This window comes from Homo sapiens, chromosome 9 (genome assembly GCF_000001405.40).
Source record: "Homo sapiens chromosome 9, GRCh38.p14 Primary Assembly".
Taxonomy (NCBI): Eukaryota; Metazoa; Chordata; class Mammalia; order Primates; family Hominidae; genus Homo; species Homo sapiens.
Window position 1 is genome coordinate 39,592,502 of NC_000009.12, and position 14,446 is coordinate 39,606,947.

At 42.1% G+C, this 14,446-nt stretch overlaps 2 annotated features.

Annotated features, from left to right (window-relative positions):
• Positions 11,116–11,661: an enhancer, noted in NCBI's record as "H3K4me1 hESC enhancer chr9:39603603-39604148 (GRCh37/hg19 assembly coordinates)". NCBI's record gives its function as "activates a minimal SCP1, AML or CMV promoter by ChIP-STARR-seq in primed H9 embryonic stem cells {active_cell/tissue: H9 hESC(primed)}" and the evidence as "EXISTENCE:reporter gene assay evidence [ECO:0000049][PMID:30033119]".
• Positions 11,662–12,207: an enhancer, noted in NCBI's record as "H3K4me1 hESC enhancer chr9:39604149-39604694 (GRCh37/hg19 assembly coordinates)". NCBI's record gives its function as "activates a minimal SCP1, AML or CMV promoter by ChIP-STARR-seq in primed H9 embryonic stem cells {active_cell/tissue: H9 hESC(primed)}" and the evidence as "EXISTENCE:reporter gene assay evidence [ECO:0000049][PMID:30033119]".

Consider the following 14,446-nt stretch of genomic DNA (forward strand, 5'->3'; position numbering starts at 1 on the left):
TACTGTCTGTTAAATTAATCGCCTTTTATTACGTGCTAATCAAGTTCTGCTTTATTTCATATGACAAGAGTGGTTTTGAATTAAGTAACTCTCAGACAATTGTTTCAGCAAATGATTTAGTTCTCATTTCCATGCTTACGTATAAGTTCTTTCACTCAAAAAAAAAAAAGAGGAAATCTTTAATTTAGGAATAAAATACAGAGGATTGCTTCAAGTTTGATTTGTTTTCAAAGCCTAAATTTATAACTTTTATGTTGCCCTTGCCAATGATTATTTGCAGTTACAGTCTGTAGTTTCACATCATTAATAACTAGAAAGAAAAATGGGCTTTTTATTTGGCTTCAAAGTGGGTGACGAGTTTTGGAGCTTCATCTGCTTGCCGTGTTGCTATTGATGCCAATATATTTGCGACTTCCCACTTGCAATATCATTATCAACAGGTAGAGAAAGACATAATGGTTTCAATCTCCTTGCTGACAAGCACTTCTCTACACTTGTTAAATCACAGATTTAGCTAAGAAAAATGAAAGGAATATTCCCCGTTGGCTGTGAATTTATAAAAATTGCTTTCTTTGACAGACAGTCCTCTGTTTCCTGTCTCAGGGAAAATACACAAAGTATAATGAACACTATGGAGGCATTTCCTAAACTTACATCTCATTATTCAATGCAGGGAGCACAGACTCTGAAGAGGGAAACCACAGGGGAAATTACACATACCATTTGTCAACTTACATTCCTTTAAGCAAAATGCACCAAATTAAGAATTCGGGACGGGCCGGGCGCGGTGGCTCACGCCTGTAATCCCAGCACTTTGGGAGGCTGAGACGGGCGGATCACGAGGTCAGGAGATCGAGACCATCCTGGCTAACACGGTGAAACTCTGTCTCTGCTAAAAATACAGAAGAATTAGCCAGGCATGGTGGCGCGTGCCTGTAGTCCCAGCTACACGGGAGGCTGAGGCAGGAGAATGGCGTGAACCCGGGAGGCGGAGCTTGCAGTGAGTCGAGATCGCGCCACTGCACTCCAGCCTGGGCGACAGAGCGAAACTCCGTCTCAAAAAAAAAAAAAAAAGAATTCGGGACGATAGTTTTGCATTGCTGAGTACATTTGAAAATCACTTGAGGCCAGGTGCGGTGTCTCACGCCTGTAATCCCAGCACTTTGGAAGGCTGAGGCGGGTGGATAAACTGAGGTCAGGAGTTCGAGACCAGGCTGGCCAACATGGAGAAGTGATGGCGTGGTGGCCCGGCTTGGTGGCAGGCACCTGTAATCCCAGCTACTTGGGAGGCTGAGGCAGGAGAATCGCTTGAACCCAGGAGGAGGGGGTTGCAGTGAGCCAAGATCGCGCCATTGCACTCCAGCCTGGGAGATGGCCCAAGACTGTGTCTCAAAAAAAAAAAAAAAAGAAAAGAAAATCATCTGGATGCTGGTCAAAGCTTAAATGCTAAAAAGTTCTACCTCATGAGTTTGTTTTGCTGGTATGTGTGGAATCCACCTCTATCTTTCTCAGGCTCTCTCTCTTACTCTCTTACTCCCTCCCTCTTTCCTTCCTTCCTCCCTTTCTTCCACCCTCCCTCTGTCTCTTCCACCCTCCCTCCCTCTCTTCCTTCCTTCCTTCTTTCCTGTACATTCTCACCAGCTACAAACTTTGGACCCTCTTGACAAACGTTTTTGTGTCTTCCATGAGGATGATTACTACTAGCTTGTTGCTGATGGTAAGCCACATTTCCTGTCTCCATATTGAAGAAATGAAATGGCAGCTTGAAGGCAGCAGGACAGAGATTCGCTGCCAAACAACCAAATCAGCTGTAACTGCCTGTTGGTATGGAGGACAGAAGGGCTCCAGGCTGTATCATCATTGAGATGCAGGAATTCAAGTGAGTCTTCCGTATTTGAACTGGCCTGGAGTTGGTGCTTGGGAGTTGATGGCTACTTCTACATATAACTACACAAAGAACTGGCTTAATATTAATGCTCAAGTAAACGAGTCACTAAACAAACAAGAAAAACAAGACCAAACTATGAAATCTGTTGTTAAAAGTATATTAAAATTCAGATTGAAAATGATTGAAATCAATTATTAAATATGTTTCAAAAAAAGAAAGCATGCTACATCCATTTGGTTTGTTTTCATAGGTAATATCAAACTGCTAAATATCACCTTAATTCAGTCATTGATAAATGTGTGCAATGAGGTGTAGCCCACAAAGCCTTTAATCAGTGTGACCATTCCAATATCTCATGGCCTTTAATTTTGCTTCTGTTCGGTTATCAACATTGGATGTTATAACATCAGGTGGCATGATGTGTGACATTTGTCTGTCATTCATTCATTCCATTATTTATTGAATGCCTATTACAGCACAGAATTTGACATGGGAGTGGGAGAGTAATCGTGAACAATACTAGTAAAATGCCTGCCCTCATGAGGATTATGTTCCTGTTGTCATGAAGTTGTCATCTCCTTCTAGATGATAAACAAGAAACAAATAACCAAAATGCACTCAAAGAATAATAATAAGGGCTTGAGGAAGTTAAAGCACTTTAAGAAAGTTAAAAAAAAAAAAACTAGTCATGGGGCAGTGGCTAATTGAGTGGTCAGGGAGGCCTCTTCACAGAGTTCACATTTTGCTGAAAACTAAAGAAGATCCAGCCTTGAGAAGATGTGGAAAAGGGAACAGCAAATGCAAAAGCCTGATAGAGGAAGAGCTTTGGATGGTGATATTTCAACAAGAACATCCTCAAGGCTGGAGCAGGGTGAACAGGAGGGAAACCAGTAGCATGTGGAATAGGATCAAATGAGCATTCAACTCTATTTTTCCAGGGATTGGAGAATCAGATAAGGCCCCCCATGTATGCTGTAAATAACCAAGACTGACCTTCTACATTAAAAGAGAGAGATGTGTCTTTCCTTTTGAATGTTAAAAACAGTTTAAAAGTCTTTACAAAATTACCAAAGACAAATAATATCACATATATCAAATTTATCCATTTGATTAATAATTTTTAAGATTTTGAAGATTAATAATTTTTAAAATTATTTTTATTTCATGATTTTGCATAAAGGTTGTGAGTGAAATAGATACTGTGATTGGAGAAAAGATAAGGAGACAATGTATATGTGTCTATTTGGCAGGGGGTGGGGACACATCATAATATATATTTGGTATGCATCCTATCTAGTTTCTAATTAAAACCAAAATTGGCTGGGCGCGGTGGCTCACGCCTGTAATCCCAGCACTTTGGGAGGCCGAGGCGGGCAGATCACGAGGTCAGGAGTTCAAGACCAGCCTGGCCAATATGGTGAAACCCTGTCTCTACCAAAAATACAAAAATTAGCCGGGCATGGTGGTGGGCACCTGTAGTCCCAGCTACTCGGGAGGCTGAGGCAAGAGAATCACTTGAACCAGGGAGGCAGAGGTTGCAGTGAGCCAAAATCACGCCACTGCACTTTAGCATAGGAGACAGAGCAAGACTCCGTCTCAAAAAAAAAAAACCAAAATTATAATATGACTCACCACAGCAACCCATTTACATCTTCTGTTACATGGCAACAAGGAACTAAATATTAATCATAAACCCCCAAAGACATTAATCCTAGGATGTAAAGTCACTCCCTAAATCGCTACATCTTTAAGTTTCATGGGTCCACTCCTTGTCTATGGGTGATCTCTGTTGTAGAATTTGTCCCATCCCACTTCCTTGGGCTGCTTCCCTCAGTAAACTCACACATTCACTCTCTCCAATAAAATCAGAATAATGATGAAGTGGTACCACTTTCTTGCTTCATTGGCAAATAACTATGGAAGCTAAGTGTCTTGTTAAGAACTATATTAGCAGATCATAATGAGCCCTAGACTTGCTATCTCTTAAACATTGATGAAAGATAAGATGTAAAACTAGCAGTTGCTGACTTGCATTAATAAAGTGTTAAGAAGGGCGAGAGCCAAGGATTGCCACAGGGAGGAAATTAAGTAACCCGCTTACTGCATTTCCTTGGGCAACTGTAGATAAAATGTTTGGCTTGGGTAAAGAACTGTTAAAACCTTAAAATAAAATTTAATGACCCCATTTTTTAAAAACTTAATTTTTAATCAGGTTTTTAAACACAGTATAATTCCTTCAGTATGGCAGCTGTGCCATAGAGTTCACTCTATGTAATGTTTTTGTATTTAAAAAAATAGTTTGTACTTTAAAAAAATACATAGCTGTATTGACATATAGTTTATATAATGTACATTTTATCCATCTAAAAGTAAAATTCAGCCTCCCAAGTACCTGGGATTACAGGCACCTACCACCATGCCTAGCTAATTTTTAGCTAGCTAATTTTTTAGCTAGCTAATTTTTAGCTAGTATTTTTAGTAGAGACAGGGTTTTGCCATGTTGGCCAGACTTGTCTCGAACTCCTGACCTCAAGTGATCTGCCCATCTCAGCCTCCCAAAGTGCTGGGATTACAGGTGTGAGCCACCATGCCCAGCCTGTTTTGTGGTTTTGATTTATATTGTTCTAATGACAAATAATGTTGATCATCTTCCTATGAGCACACAGGCCAATCTTTGGAAAAATCTTTAGTCACATTTATTGCTCATTTTTAAACTGGGTTATTTGTCTTTTTATTATTGAGTGGTAAGTGTTCTTTATACATTCTGGATATAATATCTTAACAGATATATGATTTGCAAATATTTTCTCTCATTCTGTGTGTCGTCTTTTCAGTTTCTTGGTAGCATCTTTGGAACTACAAAAATTCTGGCCAGGCGCAGTGGCTGAGGCCTGTAATCCTAGCATTTAGGGAGGCCAAGACGGGCAGATCACCTGATGTCAGGGGTTCAAGACAAGCCTGGCCAACATGGCGAAACCCCGTCTCTACTAAAAATACAAAAATTAACCTGGTGTGGTGGTGCATACCTGTAATCCCAGCTACTGGGGAGGCTGAGGCACGAGAATTGCTTGAACCCAGGAGGCAGAGATTGCAGAGAGCCAAGATCACACCACTGCACTCTAGCCCGGGTAACAGAGTAAGACTCCACCTCAAAAAAAATTTTTTTTTCTTTAAAAAAAAATTCAATTGACAAATAATGACTGTGTGTATTTATGGGATACAATGTGATATATTCATATATGTATCAATTATAGGAAGTCCAACTTATCTATTTTCTTCTTTTGTTGCTTGTGCTTTTGGTGTCATATCTAAGAAAGCTAAAGTCAAGAAGATTTTTTTCCCCTATGCTCTCTTCTAAGAGTTTTATAATTTTATCTATTAAATTTTAGTATATATTTTTGAGGTAACTTTTTGTATAAAATATGAAGAAAGGGTCCAGTTTCAGTCGTTAGCATGTGACATCCAGTTTTCCCAACACCATTTGTTGAAAAGACTATTATTTCCATTGAACAGCCTTGGCATTCTGGTTGAAAATCAACTATTAATGTAAACATTGATTTCTAGACCCTTAGCTGTATCCCATTGGTCTATATGTGTATCCTTATGCCAGTACAAGTCTGTAATTATTACTATAGCTTTGTAGTAAATTTTGAAATAGAGAAGTGTGCATACTCCAAATTTGCTCTTCACTTTTGAGATTACTTTGACTATCAGGAGTCCCTTGCATTTCCACATGAATTTTTGGATGGGCTTGTCAATTTCCACAGAAAAGGCTGTTGGGATTTCTATAGAGACATGGTGACTGTATATCAATTTGGAAAGCCATCTTAATAATGTCTCCCAATCTCTGAACATTGGTGTCTTGTCATTTATTTACTCCTTTTTTTTTTTACCTTCTTTCAAGTATGTTTTGTAGTTTTAGGGTATAACTTTTGCTCTTTTTGAATAATTAATTTCTAAGCATTTTCTTTTTTGATGCAATTATCAATGGAATTGTCTTAATTTGAAGTGTTCATTGCTAGAGTAGAGAAATACAATTTTTTTTTTTTAATTTAAAGGAGTTTAATTGAGCAACAAACACTTCAAGAATCGGGCAGCCTTCCCAGGCAGAGTAGGCTCGGACACTCCAGCACAGTCACGTGGTGGAAGGTTTATGGACAGAAAATGGAAGTGAGGTACAGAAACAGCTGGGTTTGGCTGCAGCTTGGCATTTGCCTTATCTGAACATGGTTTGAACAGTTGGCTACATTTGATTGGCCAAAACTCAGTGATTGGCACAAGTGTAGTCTGTTTACACCTCCACTTGTCACAATATACAGACAAACTTTTAGGCCAAACTTAAATATATAAGGAGGCAGCTTTAGGCTAAACTTGATTTCAACACCTGTATTCCAACACTTTGGGAGGCCGAGGCGGGAGGATCACTTGAGCCTAGAAGTTAGAGGTCAGCCCAAGCAACATAGTGAGACCTTGTCTCTGCGAAAATAAATTAGCCAGGCATGGTAGCATGTACCTGTAGTCCCAGCTTATTAGGAGACTGAGGCCAGAGGATCATTTGAGCCCAGGAGTTCAAGGTTGTAGTGAGCTACAAGCGCGCCACTGCACTCCTGGGCAACAGAGAAAAAGCCTACCTCAAAAAGAAAAAAATAATGACATAAGCAATTATGTGGAAATAAGGTCATACCTGTCAAAGTAATCAGCTGAAAGCAGTTGCCTCTGAGGTGCAGGAAAGGGGGAAAGTGGAGATAAGGGAACTACTTTTCTTTAAAAAAAAAAAGATAAAACTAACACTTCAAGCCAGGCAAAGTGGCTCACACCTGTAATCCCAGCACTTTGGGAGGCCAAAGCGGGTGGATCACCTGAGGTCAGGGGTTCGAGACCAGCCTGACTAACATGGTGAAACCCTGTCTCTACTAAAAATACAAAAATTAGCTGGGCACGATGGCGGGCGCCTGTAATCACAGCTACTCGGGTGGCTGAGGCAGGAGAATTGCTTGAACCTGGGAGACAGAGGATGCAGTGAGCCGAGATTGCACCATTGCATTCCAGCCTGGGTGACAGAGCGAGACTCTGTCTCAAAAAAAAAAAAAAAAAAAACAAAAACAAAAACTAACACTTCATTACCTCTGAATGGACATTAAAAAATATTTTAATAAATAAAAAAAGATTTAATACTTCAAACTATGGGCACACAAAACCTTGATAAAAATAAAAACAAATTTAGAAATCTATTATTATTATTATTATTATTTTTTTTTTTTTTTTGAGACGGAGTCTCGCTCTGTCGCCCAGGTCGGACTGCGGACTTCAGTGGCGCAATCTCGGCTCACTGCAAGCTCCGCCTCCCGGGTTCACGCCATTCTCCTGCCTCAGCCTCCCGAGTAGCTGGGACTACAGGCGCCCGCCACCGCGCCTGGCTAATTTTTTGTATTTTTAGTAGAGACGGGGTTTCACCTTGTTAGCCAGGATGGTCTCGATCTCCTGACCTCATGATCCACCCGCCTCGGCCTCCCAAAGTGCTGGGATTACAGGCGTGAGCCACCGCGCCCGGCTAGAAATCTATTATTAATAGGACAGCATGTTGAGAGACTTTAAAGGAGTTTTTTTTAAGTATTTTTAAAATAATCTCAAATTTATAGAAGTCTTGGAATTAAAGTACAAAGAACTTTTGTTTTGCTAAATGATTTGAAAGTTCCTGACCTGACTCCCTATAACCCCTACATACTGTATGTCTTCTATAAACAAGGACTGAATGCAATAAAATTGTAATATAGCTAGAAAAATCAGGAAATCAACATTAATAGATTTCTACCATCCAACCAACAGACCTATTCAAGTTTTGCCAAGTCAGGATCCAGTTCAGAATCACCACTGCACTTATTTCTCACGTCTCTTTCATCTTCAGTCTGGAACAGTTCTTCAGTCTTTCCTTAACTTTCATGACTTTACACTTCTATTACAGGCCAATTATTTTGTAGAATTTTCCTTAATTTGAATTTGTTGCTTTAGGATTAGATTCCAATTATGTATTATTGGCAGGAGCATCATAGAAGTGATGCTGTGTTCTTCTTGCTAGACTATCAGGAGGCACACGATTGCAATTTGTCCTATTACTGAGGATGTTCATTTTGGTTGCTTGATTAAGGTGGTGCCTGCCAGATTTTTCCACTGTGAAGTGACTTCCTTTTGTAACTAATGAATAATTTGTGAAGAGCTGCTTTGAAATGATGTAAATATCTGTTGACTTGAAAATACAACAAAATTATACTATGAATTGAATAATACATCTAAATTAATTTGCATTTTATCAATGACAACCAGATCCACATACTTTTGTAAAACAGTTGCTGGTGTGTGTGCGCAACAGGTTGTTGACTTAGGCAATGTGTGGAATGTTCTGGATTCCTAGACCCCGGACAGTAGCTCCAAGACAGTTTTGAACTTTCAAGTAAGACAAACTTAGTTTTGATTTCCAGTTGTACACTTAGAAGCTATGGATGGTAGATTCTTTGTTGGGGAAAATGGCAGCAATTCTCACTCCCTGTGTCTACCCCTTTGGTTGTCCCCTTCCATACCGGCTGGCCATGCCCTTGTGACCTGCTTTGGCCAATGGGAGAATAGCAAATATGACATAAGTGAGACATGGGAAGTTCTTGTGTTGCTGCCCTTATGCTGCTTTTGAAACTCAACCCCTATGTTCAAGCTCTCCTGGATAATGAGACTTGTGGTCGCATTCCCATCACCCAGCTGACGATGAGCTCCTCCTGTCCCTAAAATATGAGGCCCCTTAGCCATCCAGCCCCCATCCAGTTATTGAGAAACAAGTATTACCTGTTTGAAATCATAAACGGGTGGTTTATGATGCAGCAAAAACTAACTTACATACAACATGACCTCATGTGGGTTTCTTAATTTCTCTCAGTCTCAGCTTTCTCATCTATAGGATGGAGATAAGGCAATCAACCTCACTATTTAGAGGATTAAATGAGAAAATATATGCAAAGTGCTTGGCATAGCATAAATACTCAACACATATGGTAATTTTTTAAAAACCCTCTATATTAGTCCCTTTTAATTAAAATTTTAATTAAAACAAAAGAAAAACAAAACAAAACAAAAACCTCTGCTGGGTGGACGAGGGGCAGCCCTCAGGCTAGATGCACTGATTTAGTACTTTTAATAGTGGCAGGAGTCAGACAAGCCCGTAGGCAGATAGTGGCATGTCCCCAATGAAATCCAACTTTCAAACCAAAGGCAGTTTAAAGCCCGAAAGCTAAGCTACAAGTCTTGGATAAATCCATGGACCGAGCTGAGAACATCTCTTCCTGTTGGTGCACTTTCCTCTGACTGATCCCCACCCTTCACTTACTTTACATATATCTACCCTTCCCTAGGTGGTTTTCTACACTGTCATGCCACCTTTGAATGGTTCCTTTGTTTTAGCCTTTTTTGTATACTCGTAAACCAATCAGCATGCAGTCCCCACTTCTGAGCCCATAAAAGCCCCGGACCCAGCCACGCTGAGAGAGAGACCACCCAACTTCAGGTCAGGGACCACCCTTGCATCCCCTCTCCTCTGAGAGCTGTTTCATTGCTTCATAAAACTCTTCTCTGCCCTTTTCACCCTTCCATTGTCAGCAAAGGGTATGAAGAAGGCAGTAACACCATAGCCCTCCACCCCTCCCCGACTATCTGTGCCCAGTGGCAGCCCCTTGCCATGAGAGGCAGTGCAGGGCCAGGCCAGCCAGGGAGCCTCCGGCAGGAGCAGGCAACAGGACTGACAGAGTTGTTAACACACCCCCCATTCATTGTTAACATGCCCGTTTGTCAGGCTGCTGACGGTGGGACTAAAAGAGCTGTTAGCATGGCTGTAACATCCCCTCTGGGGCTTCAGAGTCGAGTGCTTTCCTGTTTGGGCGCCACCAAGTTCCCTTCATCTGCATGCCAGAGTTCACCCCCGGAGTCACTTCCGACAGGCCTGATCCAGCTGCAGGCCCCAAAGGGAGCCCGCTCCTGCGCCAGCACTTGGAGTTGCTGGCAAGATGAGGCACTCACTTGATCACACACCCCCTCCTACTGGGGCTGAGCATGCAGTCTCGGTGGCTGCAGGATCCCCACCAGAGTGCAAGCCCAAGTGGGCAGGGCACCTCCTGCCTGGGGCAGAGCTAGGCATGGGCAGGGGCATCGCCAGCCAGAAGTCTGCAGTTGGAAAAGTGTCCGAGAAAAATCCTGCGTCACTTTGGAAGCAGTCTTCCTATCCTAGAATGCCAGAGGGCAAGCATCTGAAAGATCTGGAAGGATGAGGCAGCAAAGGCCAAGATGTGAATGTACACTGCCCCTGTCAGAGGTGATCGAACCAGAGCGATTCCATCTTGAATAGGGGCTGGGTAAAATAAGGCTGAGACCTGTGAGGCTGCATTCCCACTAGCTTAGGCATTCTAAGTCAGGATGAGATAGAAAGTCCGCATAAGATACAGGTCACAAAGACCTTGCTGATAAAACAGGATGCAGTAAAGGAGCCAGCCAAAACCAAGATGGTGACGAAAGTGACCTCTGGTCATCCTCACTGCTCATTATATGCTAATTATAATGCATTTCCATGCTAAATGACACTCCTGCCAGTGCCAGGACAGTCTACAAATGCCATGGCAACATCAGGAAGTTACCCTATAGGGTCTAAAAAGGGTAGGAACCCTCAGTTGCAGGAATTGCCCACCCCTTTCCCGGAAAACTCATGAATAATCCACCCTTTGTTTAGCATATGATCAAGAAATAACTGTAAGTATAGTCAGTCGAGCAGCTCCTGCCGCTGCTCTGCCTATGGAGTAACCATTCTTTCATTCCTTTATTTTCTTAATAAGCTTGCTTTCACTTTATGGACTTGCCCCAAATTCCTTCTTGCAGGAGGTCCAAGAACCCTCTCTTGGGGTCTGGATAGGGACCCTTTTCCAGTAACATCCCCATCACAGCCCTAATCACTAGGGGACCCTCTAGGCTCTTCCTGCCCTCCCCAGACTGTCTCCCTTAAACATGCTGGATGCAGGGGTGCATCAGTGACTCCGCTGGTGCCTCCAGGAAAATAAAGTGTGGACCTCTGTGGACAAGAAACAACCCAAAGTAAAGACGACTCCTCACAGGCAGGATGGATATCCAGTTGTATGTATGTCGGTGTGCTGGGGCCGGGAGGCTCCTAATAACAATGTTACCGCTGCTTCACGTGGAAGAAAGCTGAGGCTCAGAGAGATTAAGGAACTTGTCCAGGGCCATACCGGAGTCCAGGCCTGTGTGCTGTCATGGTCTGAGGTTTGAACTCCAACCGTCTAAGGAGCTGGGATAGAACTGGGGAGGGAGTGTGGTGGGTGGGAACAGCGGGCAGATAGATGCTGGCTGGTCTCCGAGGAGCCTAGGTTCGGCCAGAGGGACAACAGGTGAGGAAAACAGGCCTCGGGGTGGATGAGTGAATACTCAGAGGATGGGCGCAGACCCGGAGGGCCGTGAAAGGTGACAGGGTTATTACAGTCTTGGTTGCATAAGGGGGTAACTAGCGGTTTCTTGGCTGAAAAAGAGGAGGGGGGCTACAGCTTCCCCCCTCCAAGGGCGGAGCACGCAGCCGCTCAGCAGGCTGCCACACAGGGTCCCCCACCTCCGCAGCTGGGGGACCTGAACTCGCCAATAGGAGGTTCCTCCTGCACGCGCGGCTTCACCCTCCCTCCAGGGCTCCCGTTGCATTTCACTCCCTGCCTAAGGTCGCCCGCCGGTGAGGGCGGAGGAGGAAGAACTGCAGCTCCTGAGGACAGAATCTGCTTCAAGGCACCCTGACCGGCGCCCAACCCCACCCCGGCTGCGGCCCGCCGCCCTGATCCCCATCGCGCTGCACGGTCTTCCCTTCCAACACCGAGGGCGCTGCAAGGACGCCCTGTCCCTGCCACTCATTCATATTAATGACTCCTCCCACCATGCTTTCCTCAGGTGTGTTCCGACCGCTCTGCCCGAAACATTTTCATCCCACACTCTTACGGCCACCTCTCCCCAAGTTCCCTTCCGTCTGGGCAAATCTTGTCCTTTACCCGGCACTGGGGTCGCTCCAGAGCTTTCAAACCAGCTTCCCCAGGGCGCTGTGCAGGGCCGGGCCCCTACAATTTTTGTATATTGATCTTGTACCTTGCCGTCAGGCTGAACTTGTTTATTAGTTCCAATAATTTTTTTTAGTGGCATTGTTGGGGTTTTCTATATAAAGGTAATGTCATCTGCAAGTAGAGCTAATTTTACCTCTTCCTTTCCAATCTGAATGCCTTTACTTTATTCTTCGTTTAATTATCTTATCTTGGCTAGAACCTCCAATACAATGGTAAATAAAAGAGGTAAATGTGCTGCAGTGAGTGCTTAAAGTTTTATGTTGCCTTAGCATCCATTTTCAAATATGTGTTTAACTTTCTCAAACCAGAAGCAGGGTTCAGTCACCCTTGATGCAGTTTCCTGTACTATACCCCCCAAATGGCTCCAGGTGGTGACCAGAAATAAAAACTTGGAGGCATCTCTGTCTCGTAGCAGGCTGGGCTCCCAGCTTTCCTGCTGCTTCCTCTAAACAGACCATTTAGACACTTTCAGTCACAATGTGACTTCCTAGTACTAGTGCCTGCTTGCTTTAAGCCCATCAATTTAAAGCTCCTTGTTTATATAATGCCCTGGACCCAATAAAGGCATTGACCTCCGTGTGTGTGTGTGTGTGTGTGTGTGTGTGTGTGTGTGTGTGTGTGTGTGTGTGTGTGTGTGTTTTCTAAGCATGCTGTGTGCCCCCCAGGGAACTTTCACACTGTGGTCATGTCATTGAAGCCACATCTGCAATCTGACCCATGCAGGTGGATCTCCTGCTGCTGCGCTTCTGTCTGGGTCTCTGGTGGCTGCAGAAACAATGGCTACAAGCTGAGCAGATAAAGAAACTCAGAGAGTTCATTCTAAACAAGTGAACAACCTCTTCTTCCTGATCTAAGGCAAAAAGCATTTAACCTTTCATCATTTATTTCTCCACAAGTGTGGCATGTCATCATTGCCACTCACTGACCCACACACTCATGGTTCATAGCCTGAGAAATAGTTTGCAAAGGCATATTTACCTTCATTGAAACCTTAGAAAACATTTATAAAGGCAGTTCAAAAATCAACCTTAAAATATGCCATAAAAAGACAGAGAGAGGTAAGAAGATACTCATGAAATCAGTCATTGTCTCAAACAAGAATAATTTTAGAGAAAGTGGATTGGGTCCTTCTTTCCCTGGTTCTCTTGCTTTTTTCTATTCTCTTCTGCAAGCAATAATCCTTTTGTCTGGCTTCTTCATTATTTCAAAGGAGAAAGTACAATATCAGCATGCATTCACCTATACTGTCAATTCCAGAAAAAAATAGCAGAGTTAAATATAAATGGACCTTAGTCATATTTAACCATTGCTCTCCTTGACAATCCAAAGCTTAATAAAGTACATCTCTTTGCATTTAGAAATTCATATATTCATACTCATACTGTTAACCTACTAAAATAAAAAAGTAGATGGAAATAATATACATGGAGCTAAAGTCAATATTAAATAGTCCCAGACATATGGTTTGTGACTAATTATTAAACATAATATATGAATTCTTCCGGTGGGTTATACAATTTTAATTGGTTGATTAAAGGACCATTCTATTCTTCAAAGGAGATAATCATGCTAAATTTTAAGAAAAATTACAGTGGAGGTATTCATTTATCTATGTCTTTATAAAAATGTAATATAAAATGTTTATGCAAAGGAGGCCTGTGAGAGAGGGGAGTGTAAGGGTTTAATAAGATATTTGGAGTAGTTTCATCCCATGACCACACATGTTCTGCTTTACCATCTGCAATCTCATTAGCTGTCCATGAAGATGCTGTGCTGAATGTAGACCTGAAATTTAGACATAAGCACTCACATATATGAAATATACATTGCTAGAGGAGCAAATAAACAAAGAAGAAAAACATTTTTTGATTTGTGGCTTCACTTTTGAACAATAACCAAAAATATTCTACATGCTCAAAGGAAAAAAAAACTCATTTTATTCTTATGAGACCAAAGGATTTTATTCTTACGAGACCAAAGGAATTGACAACAGAAGGTGAAATACAATGCAACCAGCCTGGGAAATCTTTCTGCTTGGTTCAGCTGGGCCATGGACAATTTCAAAACGAAGCAATGTGAAAACAGCACATTAATGAATGGATGGATAAAGAAACATGGAGAGAAGATACATTACTTTGGCTACCAGAGGTACAAATGCAAAAAGATTCTCCACTTTTGACTAGTAGAACTGATGATGGATTTAAAATCAGCTGCACATTGAGGGATTTTTGTTCAAGTGTAACATAAATTATGTTACAATATGAGGATAAAATATGTTATTTTGGGCTATGTTTTAGTGCATAAACACTAACAACATTAATGAATGTTATAATAATTTACTTGAAAGATGTTTAATCTATTTGTAAATAGCTCTGTCACCTGCTGAATGGCTTTCATATGTTTCAAGTAATATTTAATTTCT